General features: G+C 38.6%; 1 protein-coding gene across 3 annotated transcripts in view; it reads right to left on the bottom strand.

Moving 5' to 3' along the window:
- The window catches only part of SIRT1 (sirtuin 1), a 33,735-nt gene continuing 19,465 nt past the window's right edge, over positions 3,515-17,784 (bottom strand). For 2 of the 3 annotated variants that reach the window (NM_012238.5, NM_001142498.2), the window contains 5 exons: positions 14,968-15,115; positions 13,780-13,859; positions 12,463-12,649; positions 8,874-9,431; positions 3,515-5,640 (listed from right to left, as the gene is read on the bottom strand). In NM_012238.5, the coding sequence (NP_036370.2) occupies positions 5,312-5,640; positions 8,874-9,431; positions 12,463-12,649; positions 13,780-13,859; positions 14,968-15,115 (1,302 nt within the window). In that variant the 3' untranslated portion in view covers positions 3,515-5,311. Of the gene's footprint in view, positions 5,641-8,873; positions 9,432-12,462; positions 12,650-13,779; positions 13,860-14,967; positions 15,116-15,617; positions 15,743-17,784 lie in introns of all 3 variants that reach the window. The other variant, NM_001314049.2, reaches the window with a different exon arrangement.

The following is a 17,784-nucleotide window of genomic DNA, read 5'->3' as shown; positions in this document are numbered from 1 at the left end:
CTTTCAGTGGTTCTCATATAAGAGTCAAAATTTTTCAAAAAGAGGGATGGTTCAGGGAAGGTCTCTTAAATTTCGGATGACTTGTTTCTATTCCTACATGAATTTATAGAGGTCCACAGTCTCTTAACCTGCAATTCTAAAATTTAAAAAAACTGAAAAGAATATTGTCATCTCTCACTTTGCAGAAAAACCTGATCTGAATTGTTGAAGCTATTTATGGTATTCACTAAATAAGACTATGACCGCTATTGGGTGCTTTAAAAAATTCTTCAGAATTCACAATTCCAAAATGCAAATAAGCCCAAGGGGTTGGATAAGGGATTGTGGACTTGTACTTTTCAGTAGATTAACTTAAAAAACTATTGGCGAACCATAGAACTCTTCTATAGATAGAAGCACTAAAACAATATTCTCACCTAAGGTACTTTGTCTCAAAGTAGTAGCATTCTTCCCCATGAGAGTGTTTCCACATACCTGATATTATACCATTTTCCCTGTTCATCCACTTCTTGAGGTAGTAATTATTCAAATCAAAAGCATGTCAGATGCTCTTTCTCAATAGTAGTAACCTTTGTATATTATGAAGCTGATTTGTGAAATAGCAGGCACTTTGGATTAATAGTTCCATGAACAAATATTTTAACAAGAGAATAGCATCTGGGAGCACACTGTACAAAGTTTAATTTGGGGACTTTTCCTCCCTGTTACTCCAGAACTGTGATACAATGTATTAACAGCAAGGAGATTCATGGTAGAAAGTTAAAATACCATTGAAGATTTCTGAAATTGCCACTTACTTTTAAAAAACAAGAAGAAGTCTCGAGCTTTGTAGATCAGAGCAGCAAGGCTGCAGATCATTTGCTAAATTGTAGGGACTATGATTATTGAGTTGGCTAAATACTGAAGTATTTGGCCTCCACACATCTATTTGTAAGGTACAAATACATAGTGTGTGTGTAGCTCTCCTGTCTTAGTAGTCATTCAAGCTATTAGCCATTGTTCAGGATGATTAATAAGACAGCAGAACCAAGACACTCCTTTCAATTAAAAGGAAATAAAACCAGAATGCAGGCTGGGCGTGGTGGCTTACACCTATAATCCCAGCACTTGGAAGGCTGAGGTGGGCAGATGGCTTGAGTCTAGGAGTTCGAGACCAGCCTGGCCAACATATTGAAACCCTCTCTCTCTCTACTAAAAATACAAAAAATTAGCCGTGCATGGTGGCAGATGCCTGTACTCCCAGCTACTCGGGAGGCTGAGGCAGGAGAATCACTTGAACCTGGGAGGCGGACGTTGCAGTGAGCTCAGATGGCGCTACTGCACTCCAGCCTGGGCGACAGAGCAAGACTTGTCTCAAAAAAATAAAAATAAATAAAACAATAAAACCAGAATGTAGGTGTAAAAACTGAGAGACCTAAATTAGATTCCCACGGTTAGCCTTCTCATAGGATCTGTTCCTAAGGACCATTCATTGGGGTCAATTTTTACTATCAGGTTGCTCTTCCTTACAGCTTTTTACTACATTTAGTAAAGCTGTGAATCAAGGTGTAATATGGCATAGAGCAGTCTTCCCCTGAAGAGTGCATGGTAAGCCTGCTAAAACAAGAGCAAAATATTCCTGTCATCAGTCTCTTCCTCCACTCCCCAACCTCTTTTGCACTTTGACCATCCAGAATGCCTTATGGTAGTTTTGTCCTCCTTTGCTGAAGAATTCACTCTATTTTGATAACTCCCTACTCTGCTGTATTTGCTTATGAACCCCAAATTACCTAATTTATGAAGCATTTCTAGGTAAAATTTGGGAATTGAGGCTAATGTAAGTTAACCTCCTTTTTTAAGCCAGCCCTAAGGAGTGTATGTTAAAAGTCATCAAAACAGAGCTCCTCAATTCTTTTCCAGCTAAGGGTGTTTCTCAAATCTGGCTATACTTTTGAATCGCCTGGGGGCGTTTTTAATACTCTGCACAAACCCCACCTTACACCAATTAAATCTGTATTTCTAGGAGGTCTCAGGCTATTCTTGCTTTTTAAAAGTTTTCAAGTGGTTTTTAATAGTCTCATTTGACAGTCACTTCAAAAGGTGGGGAGGTCATTAGACCATTTTTCTGTACTTTCTACTAGTATCCTAGTTTGAGCTGAAGGCCTAGAATGGCTTTAGATCTTTGGGGGAGAGGTTTTGGTGTACATACATATACATACTCCCCCACCCCTTTCTAGATTACAGGTCAGAAGTTGTGTTTCAAATAAAGCTTAGTTGGGGATTATGTAAAACACCATTGATTGAAGGTCCACCGTCATTTTATGTACCACTACAAAAAAAAACGCTAATTAAACCATGTGACATTAATTAGGGTATTACAATCAGTGAAATACAGTACATGCTGCATTAGCCAGTGGTTCAGCAATAACGTTATGCATAGGGCTTGAGTTAAATTAGGTTTTGCCAAATACCTTTTGACCACTTAAATTGACTATGTACCTTTAAAAGTATCAACTACCTGACTTCTTCAATTTGTGCATATATAGAATGTTCCTTAATTTTGTAATATTTTGAGGATATCATCTTACAGGTAATTTCTCTAGTGCTAACAATATACAGGACAGGTCTACCTAGAAAGTTTGCTGGGGAGGGAGGCAGAACTGGGAACAGGAAATTGCTAAAGCTTTATTCATTACATATACTTTTTTGTTCTTTGAGACGGAGTCTTGCTCTGTCACCAGGCTGGAGTGCAGTGGCGCGATCTTGGCTCACTGCAGCCTCCACCTCCTGGGTTGAAGCGATTCTCCAGCCTCAGCCTCCCAAATAGCTGGGACTACAGGTGCCGCCACCACACCCGACTAATTTTTGTATTTTTAGTAAAAACGGGGTTTCGCCATGTTGGCCAGGCTGGTCTTGAACTCCTGACCTCAGGTGGTCCGCCCGTGTAGGCCTCCCAGAGTGCTGGGATTACAGGCGTGAGCCACTGCACCCGACCAAGTTACACATACATTTTAAGGGGTACACTGCTGGCCTCTTCAGTAATACTTTCGCCCTCAAAACCTTTAATGGCTTAAGTAGGTTCTCAGGTCAGCCTCAGAAAGTTGATACCAAATGTGGTCTGCAGTCTTCAGACTTGAAAGACCTAGCATCCCAGAACAGATTTTCAGTTAACCCAGCCTTTGCATCAGATGGATTTTCACTATCCACCACTTCCTGTTCTCTCTCAAATCCCAAACTCCTGGTCCTTTATCATAGGACATGTCACATCCTTCTTAGGCCCTGCCCTGCCTTTTCTCCATGTTTTACTTGCTCAGGCCTCTAGCCTAGAATGGCTGAAATAGTTTTTGAAATGCTTGGTGGTGATGCATCACCTGCTACGATCAGCACCATCAGGGTTTTGCAAGTACTGGTCTGGTGAGACTAATGTAATAAACCAAATGAAGAAATGTAGTATGAGAAAGAAAGCATCTAATACTATAGCATTCGAAGCTGTACAAATTCTGTAAGACTTAAAAATTATATACCTTAAACAATGTAAGTTAACAGAAAAAAGTCAAATGACAATTTTAATAGACTTTAAAACAGTGTACAAGTAAAAAACACTGGTTTTGTATTTCAAAAGTTGAAGGAAGATATCCAGTCATTAAACAGTCTACAAAACATATGCCAGTAAATTACATAAAAGACTATGTACAATATAAAAAGAGCTGAAAACAGTCTTCACTGTAAAAATAATTTAAAACAAACTTTTCAATTTAAAATATCATCTATAGCACACAAACATCATGCAAATGGAAAACTAAATATACTGCATTCTTTAGTGTAGCCAAATAAATTCAGATTGAGACATCTTATAAGTAGGGAAATGGCCATTCAATACGATTTTTTTCTCTGGCAGTAATGGTCCTAGCTGGGTGTTTTATGCATAAAGAACAGCTATATTTCAAACCCTTTTTATTGTAATAAATACTAAAGCAACAGAGGAATACTTTATTAATTTAGGAGTGATGTTCAAAAATGGTCTGAAAAATAAATGCTTACTGTGCAATTTCATAAAGTATGAACTTCTTGAAAGACTAGAAGCTTTTGCAGCTGAGAAAGTTGATCTCTAGTTTTAAGGCAGGCTAAGCTTTTAAATAAAGATAAATTATAAGAACTAGTTTCATTCATTAACTATTCTGCTATTACAAGTTACATCATCATGTTCATCTCCATAATACTAGGGCTAGCAGTTTGGTATTTAACACCAAATCCTCCCAATGGGAGACATGTACTTTCTGGCTGAATTACAATTAACATCTTATTACTTTGGAACTGTATAATCAGGGGCCTGTTGCTCTCCTCATTAATGGAAAACAGCAGTCCAAAATATTACACTCTCCCCAGTAGAAGTACCATTATTATAGATTCAGAAAGGCTTTGCATATTCACATTTTGGCAGTTTAATACTTGTGGAAAAGATCAATGCAAGCTCTACCACAGTGATAGGTATTTAAACAACAATGGCAAATATTTCAAAACTAAGGGGATCCAGGCAGGCACTAATGTTTCTAAAGCAACTGAAACATTTCCAAAGCATTTATTTGTTTTTCAGGTTAGTTTTATGAGCCAATATAGACATTGCTACATGTCCACAGGAAGTACAAAAGCCATCTTCATTTGAACGTAAATACAATAATCCTGAAATTCTTAGCACCAAGTATTACTTTTAAAAGTAAAGACAACCGAGTGCTCTCCCCACATATTGTTGACTTCCTTCTACTCACACTGCATGTCATTTGAGATTTTAAAAAGTTAGCTGCCACAGTTTTGGAAAATGCCAGTGTTTAAAAATAATTGTGTTAAAGAATCAAAAGTTTAGCGTAACAGATTTTGAGTACTTCAAACCATTCAATGTTACAAAGAAAAGTGAAAATACCATTCTTTGGTCTAGATTAGCTGTTCCCTTTACATTAATTTAACATTCCGATGGCTTTTTGAAAACTTTAAAAATGTTGAAACTCACTAGACAAAACAAAAAAAATTATATATACACATATGAATTTATCATACAAATGAACCTTTAAAAGAAAGTTAGTCTTGACCAACAGCTGATTGAAGATACTTAGTACCTTTTTTTTTTTAAAAAAAAAAAAGTTAGTGTTGAGTTTGTACAAGTACAGAAATAATGAAGTTAAAAATTATCCATGAAAAACAATCTATTTTACCAACCTATAAATATTACACCTTTCTGGTTTCCTTGCTCTATCGAGTTCACAAGTAAACATTCATTTTGACATGCTAAAGTTCCTAATGCTGGTGGAACAATTCCTGTACCTGCACAATTATTACACTATGATTTGTTTGATGGATAGTTCATGTCTGTTACTTCCTGTTTCACAGATATAGCTTCATTAATTGCCTCTTGATCATCTCCATCAGTCCCAAATCCAGCTCCTCCAGCTCTCTCTGGAACATCAGGCTCATCTTCTAAGCCATTGTAGAATTCTTCAATTTCACTTTCATCCTCCATGGGTTCTTCTAAACTTGGACTCTGGCATGTCCCACTATCACTGTTACTGCCACAAGAACTAGAGGATAAGACGTCATCTTCAGAGTCTGAATATACCTCAGCGCCATGGAAAATGTAACGATTTGGTGGCAAAAACAGATACTGATTACCTGAAATACAGTAATAAAAATGTTACTTTCAGTTTTCTAACACTAACTCAGTCTGAGCAGTCTGGAATGAAGTGTGGGTTCCAGCTCTGCCTTTATTATAAGTGTCCTTATGAAAGACTACTATTAGTGTTTAAAAACAACTGGGAGGCATGGTGTGCCTGCAGTCCCAGCTACTCAGGAGGCTGAGGCAGGTGGACTGCTTGAGCCCAGGAGTTCAAGGGCCAGCCTAGGCAACAGAGTGAGGCCCTGTCTCTTAAAAATTAATTAATTAAATAAATACAAGCAATACACTTAGTCCTGGGTTCAAATCTTAGTTCTGCCATTTATTGTATCTTTGTAAGTGTACCTCTGTGCCTCAATTTCCTCATCTAGAATATGAAATAAATTTTCACAACCCTATGAAGGAGGGAAGTGTGAAAAATGTAGAAAACCATATTCAATAAAGGTTATTTCACCAATTATTTTAAAAAGATTTGATGAAAATGAAGTATCCAGCCCAGCCTACATTAGATACCCAATTTGTGTTAAGTAGCTTCTCTAAAGTACACAGGCTTTTAAAGCATCTTCATTAACTATTTTAACTTTTTTCTGATTATAAACCTAAAATATTTTGTCAATAATGTAGTCACCACAAATTCATAGTGTACTCTGTAGACACTGTGAATCTACAGTATCACCTGTGAACCTAAATTTACATTCACCCGAGATCTCAGGCCCCAAGACCCACCTACTGCTTCAGAATGTGTGTGTATATACACATACAGTCTAAGACGCTTTTGAAAACTCCTCTAAGATGTAATGTGAATCCATGAATACCAATGAAGTTCTTTCTACAGCACACCAAATCAATCCTAGCTTGGCCATTTGGGGTTTAAGTGAAAGAGTAGGATCCCTAAAAACTGATGGAAAAGTTTTCTATCCTTGAATTCACAGTATGTCCCTAACTTAACATCTCTTCACACATAATAGATGTAGTATTTATTGTACCGTATCCCAGACGAATTCTCAAAAGCCTGGTTACCACACTGGTAGGTGGCCTATCTCAAGTTCTCTCCAAAGTGGCTCTCGAACTTTTTCATACTGCATCATGACCCAGTTCTCACCCTGACTACAACCTGTGTGACAACTCTGACCTGAATCCCTAAAATTTCACAGTCCACTACAAATCACTGTGAAAACCACTTATTTCCCTCTATTACAACAGACACATAGTACTCATGAGTTTCCCAAGACACCACAGGCAGGGCACAGTGGCTTACACCTGTAATCCCAGCACTTTGGGAGGCCAAGGCTGGCAGACTGCTTGAGCCCAGGAGTTTGGTATCAGCCTGGGCAATGTGGCAAGACCTTGTTTCTACAAAAACTAAAAAAAAAAAAAAAAAAAATAGCTGAGCATGAGGGCATGCGCCTGTGGTCTCAGCTACAGCTACTCTGGAGAGTGAGGCAGGAGAATCGCTTGAACCCGGGAGGCGGAGGTTGCCGTGAACCGAGATCACACCATTGTACTTCAGCCTGGACAACAAGAGCAAAACTCCGTCTCAAAAAATAAATAAATTTAAAAAAAAATGACTGTTCCAGGTTAACTCTGTTTCCTGGGCAAAGAGATTGTCCGTTTGACACATCTGTCAAAATGACATTCAAGAAAAGTTCCCAGTGCAAGTCTTAGTGCATAGGTAGACTTTGTATACGCTAGAGACAACTGTGTATCTAAGTCAGTAGCAATTTTTCTACTTTCTGACTTCTGCCACGATTTGCAAACGTAAGCATCCCTCTATGCTTTTTCTAGTTTCCCCTGTGAACACGTCTGCTCTTTTTAAATCCCTACTTATTGTTAAATATTTTGCTCCTTAGAAAGCCTTCTGTAATCTAATCTCCAAGTAGAATCTACCTTTTGGGGCTGGGCGCCGTGGCTCACGCCTGTAATTCCAGCACTTTGGGAGGCCGAGGTGGATGGATCATGGGGTCAGGAGTTTGAGACCAGCCTGACCAACATGGCGAAACCCCGTCTCTACTAAAAATACAAGAATCAGCCGAGCAAGGTGGCGCATGCCTGTAATTTCAGCTACTCAGAAGGCTGAGGCAGGAGAATCTCTTGAACCTGGGACGCAGAGGTTGCAGTGAGCTGAGATCGTGCCACTGCACTCCAGCCTGGGCGACAGAGTGAGACTCCGTCACAAAAAAAAAAAAAAAAAAAAAAAAAAAAAATCTACCTTTTGTGTGATGTTTTGTTCAAAACAATAATAAAGTACTTTGTTCTTCAGCAGCACCTATACCAAAGTATTAATGAGTATCACTCACATTTATAATTATACACAACATTAATCACTGTGTCTCCATAACTTACCACAGTGCCTAATATGAAAAAGGCCAAAGGTTTATTCAACTGAACTAAAATGTATTTACAGCAAATGACTGGAATACTCAAATACAGTTGTCTAAAATTTGTCAGTTTTCGCCAAGTATGGTAAATGGAATGAGACTTAAAGTTCTAAGTTATATAAGACTGTTATAGCTAAGTTACAGTGGTTTTCTTTTTTTTAACATAAGTTAGGAATTTCCACCATACAGACTACTTGGACTTAAAACATCGGCTTCCAAAGAGTAGAAAGTGATTTCACATGTCAGTTAACACTTATTGATAAAGACTATGCATGTTCTAAACAGGGTAGAAACTATTCCTATATTCAGTGGAGAAGAATCACGCGTGTTTTTTCTAAGTCCTCAGAGAAAACAAAGATGTGTTCTACATCTGAGACAACACCGCATAGTAGTTAAGGGGGCAGGCTCTAAGCATAAATAGACTGGATTTTAATCTGGTTCTTCCACTTCTTAGTAGTTACTGTGCATGAGGTATTTAACCTCTATGGTCCTGAGTTTTCCCACCTGAAGAAGAGTAATAGTTCCTACCTCAGATTAAAATCAGGTAACATATGTAAAGCAGCTGACCTACAGTAAGCACTCAAATCTGTCATCATTTCTGCCAGCTAATAACCCATTCTTATTTTTCCATCCCCTAGAGAAACACAACATACAGAGCACTATTAAACACTTCCTTCTCCATATCATGTTAAGATACCAGAAGATTTACCTTTCTGATTACGAACTGTACAGTTTCTCTAAACAGAATCAACTACATAAAGCTACCCTATCGATTAACCTGCCGAAATAGCTAATTTTTTGGAAATACTGTTATGACATTTATACTTTCAAAATGGTCCGACTGCCTTTCTTACCATCAAGCCGCCTACTAATCTGCTCCTTTGCCACTCTATTAGGCCAGCATTTTCTCACTGTTCCAGCCACTGAAGTTCTTTCATTTTTCTCCCCAGTACTAGAACCAACATTCTTCAAATCCGGATTTTCCATCTGTTCAGCAATACTTTCAACATTCCTAGAAGTTTGTACTTCCTGTGGTTTTTCTTCCATACAACCTTTTGATTCAGACACATCTAAATCATCATTACTCTTAGCTGCTTGGTCTAAAAGTGTGACAATCACTGAAGAATCTGGTGGTGAAGTTCTTTCTGGTGAACTTGAGTCTTCTGAAACATGAAGAGGTGTGGGTGGCAACTCTGACAAATAAGCCAATTCTTTTTGTGTTCGTGGAGGTTTTTCAGTAATTTCTGAAAGCTTTACAGGGTTACAGCAAAGTTTGGCATATTCACCACCTAACCTATGACACAATTCATTAATTATGACATCACAGTCTCCAAGAAGCTCTACATCAAAATGCAGATGAGGCAAAGGTTCTCTATTAATTAATATCTGAGGCACTTCATGGGGTATGGAACCTAAAATAGGGTGAAAAATAAGAGTTAGAAAAAGGGAGGAGGAAGTAAGCTAATAAAACCACAACAGATACATTATGCAAAAATCCAACAAGGGCTTGAGCTCCAAATTCCCAAAAAAGACCCATGCACTAAATACTTAACCAAGCCATTACATTTCATCAAGCAAGCAGATGGGCAGTTAAGTGTCTTTTATAAAACGCTCAAGTTCTGCTCCTATCACCTGGTTACCCCTGAGCAATCTTCCCAGACTTTCCCACTCTGAACCTCAAATTTCCTTGTCTGCAGAATGGGGATGATAATAGTACTTCTCCACAAGACTGTGGTGAGGATTAAATGAGTTAGTCAAGTGCACAGAAGAGTTCTTGGTACATAAATGTTCTACTTAAGTAGCTCCTGATATAAAGAAGGTGAGCTGGGTACAGTGGCTCACGCCTGTAATCCCAGCACTTTGGGAGGCCGAGGCAGGCGGATCACCTGAGGTCAGGAGTTCAAGACCAACCCGACCAACATGGTGAAACCCCATCTCTACTAAAAACACAAAATTAGCCGGGCGTGTGGTAGCGCATGCCTCTAATCCCAACTACTTGGGAGGAGAACTGCTTGAACACGGGAGACTGCAGTGAGCCGAGATCATGCCATTGCACTCCAGCCTGGGCAATGAGGGAGGGAGGGAGGATAGGAGGGAGGGAGGGAGGGTGGGAGGAAGGAAGGACGGACAGATGAACGGAAGGAAGGACAGACAGAAGGATGGACGAAGGAAGGAAGGAAGAACGGACGGGAAGGATGGACAGAAGGAAGGACTAACAGAAGGAAGGATGAATGGAAGGAAGGACAAACGGAAGGGAGGGAGGGAGGGGAGGGGGGGAGGGAAAAAGTCATATAAACATATTCTACGCTATTATAAACCTGTTTCTTTTTTTAATTATCTTTGCAACACATCATACTATCCCACAGAAAGCTTTTGAAAGAAAAGTTTTTAAGGACCAGGCATGGTAGCTCATGCCTGTAATCCTAATGCTTTGAGAGGCAGAGGAGGAAGGATCACTTGAGGCCAGGAGTTTGTGACCAGCCTGGGCAACAAAGTGAATCCCGTTTCTACAAAAAAAAATTTAAAAATTTGCCAAGCATGGTGTGCGCCTCTGGTCCTAACTACTCAGGAAGCTGAAGTGGAAGGACTGCTTGTCCCCAGGAGTTGAAGGCTGCAGTGAGCTGAAACTGCACCACTGCACTCTAGCCTGAGCTACAGCAAGACACCCGTCTCTAAAAAATAAAAAGAAAAGCTTTTAAGCAGAGTGCCTTTGATTTTGCTTTAAGAAGAGCAACTCAAGAACAAAGAGATTTGTATATTAAATTTTCATGTTTCATTTAATTGCAAATTGTCTTGTATTCTACTTTAACAGAATTTCACAGCTAATTAGGTAAGACTGAGTTAACTGCTAAAGCCACGAGATATGGGATAGACACAAAATTGAAGAGCTTGACTCCATGTTTCTTCCAACTGTTTACTCTGGCTGCCTTGACTGCTGATGTGGGGTCTAATTCAATTCTCTGGCTAGGGATTTAATATTTTTCCTCTCCTCTTTCCCTCACTTATGAAAGGACACATCTGATGCAACTGAAATCTCTCTCTCTCCTCCTCTGATTCTAAACTAGAGGAGGAAACAGACAGTATGAGAATATATATGACAAAGAAATTTTCCTGAGAGTAATAAGGATTTAAATTTTATGTGAACACTTTTATATACACACCCTTTTGGGTAAACTATATCGACATATCACCGTTATGGCATGGCTGTTACTACAAGAATGAACCAATCATTCTGAGCCCCCAAATTCCATCTTACATGGTATGTTACACTTCTACCAAACTATACATTTGAATTTATTAAATGTGAAATCAATTAAATTTGAAAGATCAAAACTGTAATCAAAAAATATAAGGATAAAGGACCATTTCATAAATTAATTGATGCTAACCCTTGCAACATTAAAAACACATTCCACCAAAAAGTCTAAGTTGAACTCTACCTTTGTCTTAATTTTTCACATAAATTAGAAGTAGAGTTTAGCATTACTTCTGGGTTTGTTTTTGATTTTTTGAGACAGAGTCCCACTCTGTCACCCAGGCTGGAGTGCAGTGGCACATTCTCGGCTCATTGCAACCTCTGCCTCCTGAGTTCAAGCGATTCTCATGCCCCAACCTCCCAAGTAGCTGGGACTACATGTGCACACCACTATGCCCAGCTAATTTTTGTATTTTTAGTAGAGACAGGGTTTCACCATGTTGGCCAGGCTGGTCTCAAACTGCTGCCCTCAAGCGATCCACCTACCTCGGCCTCCCAAAGTGCTGAGATTACAGGCACGAGCCACCAACATTACTTGCGTTTTGACAACCCTCCACCCCCCATCAAAATGTCAGATTCACCAGTCTCAATGAACAATGCCACCTAAAAAAACAGTTCAGCCAGATGTGGAGGCTCGTGCCTGTAATCCTAGCTACTCAAGGGGCTGAGGCAGGAGGATCACTTGAGCCCAGGAGTTCGAATCCAGCCTGGGCAACACAACAAGACCTCATCTCTACTAAAAATAAAGAATTTCTGGCCAGGCATGGGGGCTCATGCCTGTAATCCCAGCACTTTAGAAGGCAGAGACAGGCGGATCACCTGAGCTGAGGAGTTCGAGACCAGCCTGGCCAACATGGTGAAACCCGGTCTATACTAAAAATACAAAAACTAGCCAGGCATGTTGGTGGACGCCTGTGATCCCAGCTACTCAGAAGGCTGAGGCAGAAGAATCGCTTGAACCCGGGAGGCGGAGGTTGCAGTGAGCCAAGATATGCGACTGCACTCCAGCCTGGGCAACAAGAGGGAAACTCCATCTCAATAAACAAACAAACAAACAATTTCTAAAATTAGCTCTTCACCACTCTTTCAAACAGAAGCAGAGTTAAGATTACTAGCGTCTATTATACAGACCCACAACCCATGACATTATATATAGAAATGTTCTCCAAAAACCATCACCAACTTACTTGGAATTAGTGCTACTGGTCTTACTTTGAGGGAAGACCCAATAACAATGAGGAGGTCAACTTCATCTTTGTCATACTTCATGGCTCTATGAAACTGTTCTGGTAAATTTTCACCAAAAAACACAATCTCTGGTTTCATGATAGCAAGCGGTTCATCAGCTGGGCACCTAGGACATCGAGGAACTACCTACATATTTTCAGATTTTGGTTGAGGTAGAGAAGCAAAGAGTAAGCCCAAGTTAGAAATAGTCAACATTTCCATACCTCTAAGAATACATTTCAGAATTATTAAAAAAAAAACAAAACAGAAAAGCTATGGATAAACAGCAACTGTCAATGATGGGTAGTTTATTAACATACTATGAAACAATGAAATACTATGCTCTTGTTATAATATCTATGTAGAAAAACACTTGACATTGAAGAGTCCATCATATATTAAGAGGAAAAACATAATGTGTGTATATACACTAAATGGGAATTGATCCTTTCAAAAAAAAATAGACATTTGTCAAATAAAATGATTCCATTTTATTTATTTGAGATGGAGTCTTGTTCTGTTGCCCAGCCTGGAGTGAAGTGGCATGATCTCAGCTCACTACAACCTCCACCTCCCGAGTTCAAATAATTCTCCTGCCTCAGCCTCCCAAGCAGCTGAGATTAAAGGCATATGCCACCATGCCAGGCTAATTTTTGTATTTTTAAGAGAGACGGGGTTTTGCCATGTTGGCCAGGCTGGTCTCACTTCTGACCTCAAATGATCGACCCACCTCGTCCTCCCAAAGTGCTGGGATTACAAGCATGAGCCACTGCACCCGACCAATGACTCCATTTTAATATACTATTCTTCCTCTTTCGTAATGACATGATTACCTCCATATATTGCTAAGCACACAGGACATATTTCTGGATAATTTTTATTTTCTGCCAAATTTTCCTATATTTTTTGGCAATGAACATGTATGAAATAATTTTAGATTACCATAACTAATTTAAGGTCCAAATCTGACAGGCACAAAAAGGGAGAGGAAGGAGAAAAACTACTACAACAACAACTTGCTTATGATCTGACATTTTATGTTCGGCTTAGATACTAAGAAGCCAATTTCATAATTTGAAGAGCCTTTATAGGGCTGTTTTCTATATAAGGTATTGAAAGGTTCTCGTGTATTTTACCAAAATTCCCAAATGCTAACTATTTTCTTCCTGAATCTTTCTGTACCATATATACTTTAAAGGGGTAAAAAAGGATTTTGAGGCAAAAGAAGAAATACTTCAGAGACATGAACAATTCCTAAAATATGGGCAACAAATTACCTGATTAAAAATATCTCCTCGTACAGCTTCACAGTCAACTTTGTATTTACAAATCAGGCAAGATGCTGTTGCAAAGGAACCTAAAAACAAACAACATATATATGCTTTATTAAAGAAGTATTTCTGTTTCTTGAACACACCACAAACGTTATAAAGTTTAACATCACAAATGTTAAGAGGGTTTAAGGATTTTTGTTTTTGTTTTTAACTTTGATTTTAAACCTCAGAACACACTGCAGATTTTGTGATATACTACAGGAGAATCTAGGGGATGAAGAATTTATATATTTATACATAGAATGAATATGATTCTCAATCTCTGAGACACTAATATAATGATGCCTTCTAAAGCTACTCTTTTCAACAAAACTGTAACAGCTCACTCCTCCAGGGCTAAAATCCTGCAGAGTTGGACAGTTCCAACTCTATTACCTTAGCTCGGCAGTTCTTAGAAACACTTTAGATACCTAATGGCCTGTTGATACTTGTTTTAAACATTTCTGAATCTCTGAATCCTGTACATCTCAACTATCCAGTTCTTTTAGTTTCATAAACTAAAGATGTCACATTTCTTCATTAACAGCTAATACTACTCTTGTATTCAGAATTTCTTTTTCTTTTTTTTTTTTTTTTTTGACAGAGTCTCACTGTCTCCCAGGCTGGAGCGCAATGGTGCAATCTTGGCTCGCTGCAACCTCCAACTCCCAGGTTCAAGTGATTCTCGTGCCTCAGCCTCCTGAGTAGCTGGGATTACAGGCGCCTGCCACCATGCCCGGCTAATTTTAGTATTTCTAGTAGAGTTGGGATTTCACCATGTTGGCCAAGCTGTTCTCGAACTCTTGGCTTCATGGGATCTGCCCGCCTCGGCTTCCCAAAGTGCTAGGATTACAGGCGTGAGCCACTGCACTCAGCCAGAAAAGATTATTTAAAATAATTGAATGCATGCAACTGCAGCATCTTTTGAAATCAAAAGCAAATTAATATCTGAGGTTTTCTATAATTAACTGTCAAGGCCAATACTTCTGTTTTTATTATTTTTGTTTTCTACTTTTCTGAGGTTATCGATAAATGAGATAACATGATTAAATAATGCTTTATCTCCACTTCTCGATGGCAGTCAGCTTTATAGGAAATATCTTCCTATAAAACTAAAATAAATTACAGAAAACCACTCTGAAGTTTACTAACCATGACACTGAATTATCCTTTGGATTCCCGCAACCTGTTCCAGCGTGTCTATGTTCTGGGTATAGTTGCGAAGTAGTTTTCCTTCCTTATCTGACAAGGCTATGAATTTGTGACAGAGAGATGGCTGGAATTGTCCAGGATATATTTCCTGTATCAAGCAAATGGTAGAAAAAATTTACATTAGTGAAATAAACTACAGATGTCATATGTTTAACAAAAAAATACTGATAATCCCACACACATAATTTTAAAAATGAAATAGATGAGCATTTTAAAGTATCTAGATGGATGCGACACACACCTACAAAAGGACGGTTGCTGTCATATGCATAAAACTCAGCAATTAGTGAACTTGGCCCCTTGAAGAAAAAGACAAAGTCGGCCCATAAACATCTCTAAGAAATGTTGATATTTTAATAAAAGTCAGAAGTAATACAACCTTAGGATATCTAATTTTTGTTGGCTGCAAATTCAGATTTTTTTCTTTAAAGAAAAATGGGAAAGTTTAAACTAAAATTACAGATATCAAGGTAGGGTGATTTAAAAAAAAAAGCACTGTCAATACAAGAATATTTAAAATTTTTTTTTGATTTATCATTCATTAGAATATCAACCTGCTGGAAGTTTAAAGCTAAAGTTTTAATCCTTACCAAAATTGTTTTCCTTCCACTGCACAGGCACATACTGGTATAGTATAGAGTTGCTCATGAATGCTGAGTTGCTGGATTTTGTGTGTGTGTTTTTCCCCCCAAATAATGCTTCAATGCTGTTTCTTCTTTAAAAACAAAGAATTCAGATATACACATGGCAAAAAGATCAGAGAAAAAGTATCAATTTTGGTCCTCCCAACTTTTGACAGTGTTTTTATTAAATTCCATTTAGTAAGTGACTATGGCAAAGGAAGTTTATTCTCTACTTTTTCCTTCAAAGTAGTAGTGCTATCATCTACTTACTTCCTTACCATTCATTACAGGCTCTAATCTATCACAATGCTAGCAAAAAACTAGACACAACCATATGTCCATCAATAGGGAACCGGTTGTATAAATATGGTACATCCATAATAGTGGAATATGTAGCCATTAAAAAGAATTGAGGGAGATCTAGATGAACTGCCCTGGAAAATGGTTCATGACATACGTGAAAAAAGCAAATTAGTCACCAGTATGTGTAACTTTTGTTTTTGTTACTAAGCAAAAATTGAAATTATATGCATATGTATATAGAGATGTCCATTTAATCAATCAAGTCAGGAAGGATACAAACAGGCTGTAAGCAGATGTGGGGAACTTTCACTTCTGACATTATACAAAAAAGTTTAATAGAGATTAAAGATGACTTTTTACCTATTTAATCTTTCAAATTAAAAAAAAATTCCCACTGCAACTTCTAGGTTCTACTACCCAGGCTTCTAAGTAAAACTTAAGTGAATTCCGTTAACAGCTATCACATACATGTACACATGCTGCTAAAAACCTCGTATAAAGAATCCAAAAACGTTGCCTTAGATTCAAATATTTATCACAAATTTCATGAATAACTCTTTGCAATTTAAGAAATAGAGAGTGCATATAGTAGCAAGGGAAAAGCTTAATAAAGTCAATGTTTACAGAAAATCAAAAGCCACTGTTTTGGAAAAGTGAGTTCAGTTAAATCAACCACTGTTTTCTTCCCCAGAATGCTTTGTTCTAGTACATTTACATTTGAGAGATTAAGCATTGTATGTCTCATTAAAGCTCCCTCTGGAAATAGCTTTTAGAGTATTTTAGGCACTATGAGAATATGCTAGGCAACAGATAAAATAGGACCTATAATAGTAAGCAAGTGATAATAGCATGCCAAATGCAGAATTTAAAAAATAAAATAACTCCAAAGCAAGGTCAGGGAAAAAGAGCAAGTACCAAGACTCCACCGTCCCTGAATTAACTGTGTGCCTTATCCACGTCCACCCCCACCCTTTCTAAAGGGTAGAGTAAGAAACACAAAGATGTATGGGACACTAGATTTAGCTCTTATTAATTCAACTACCTTTAAGACAAATCATAAGGGACATTTTTGTTTTATTTTATAAGCCTGCTTTTTTTTTTTTTTTTGAGACAGAGTTTCGCTCTTTTTGCCCAGGCTGGAGTGCAATGGCGCGATCTCAGCTCACCACAACCTCCACCTCCCGGGTTCAAGTGATTCTCCTGCCTCAGCTTCCTGAATAGCTGGGATTACAGGCATGTGCCACCACCCCAGCTAATTTTGTATTTTTAGTAGAGACGGGGTTTCTCCATGTTGGTCAGGCTGGTCTTGAACTCCTGACCTCAGGTGATCCGCCCACCTTGGTCTCACAAAGTGCTGGGATTACAGGCGTGAGCCACTGCACCCGGCCAAGCGTACGTTTTACATATGTGAGAATCTGAATGATTTGAGTCTTTGACTCATACTTTCTGTCAAGTATGAAATGGGCCATGTCTGAATTATTAGATTTAAATATAGTGTTCAAACTAAAAGTAGTAGTACAGGTGTGGTGGCTCACACCTCTAATCCCAGCACTTTGGAAGGCCGAGGCGGGCAGGTTACTTGAGACCAGGAGTACGAGACCAGCCTGGGCAACATGGAGAAACCCTGACTCTACAAAAAACACAAAAATCACAAAAATTAGCTGGGCCTCACGGTTCATGCCTGTAGTCCCAGAAACTCAGAAGGCTGAGGTGGGAGGATCACCTGAGCCCAGGGAGGTAGAGGTTCCAGTGAGCTATGATCGTATCACTGCTCTCCAGCCTGGGTGACAGAGTGAGAGCCTTTAAAAAAAAAAAAAAAAAAAACAAACAA

The sequence above is a fragment of the Homo sapiens genome, chromosome 10 (assembly GCF_000001405.40).
Source record: "Homo sapiens chromosome 10, GRCh38.p14 Primary Assembly".
In the NCBI taxonomy this organism is placed as follows: Eukaryota; Metazoa; Chordata; class Mammalia; order Primates; family Hominidae; genus Homo; species Homo sapiens.
The sequence above is the reverse complement of the archived record's forward strand: the minus strand, read 5'-3'. Positions and strand labels throughout refer to the sequence as shown.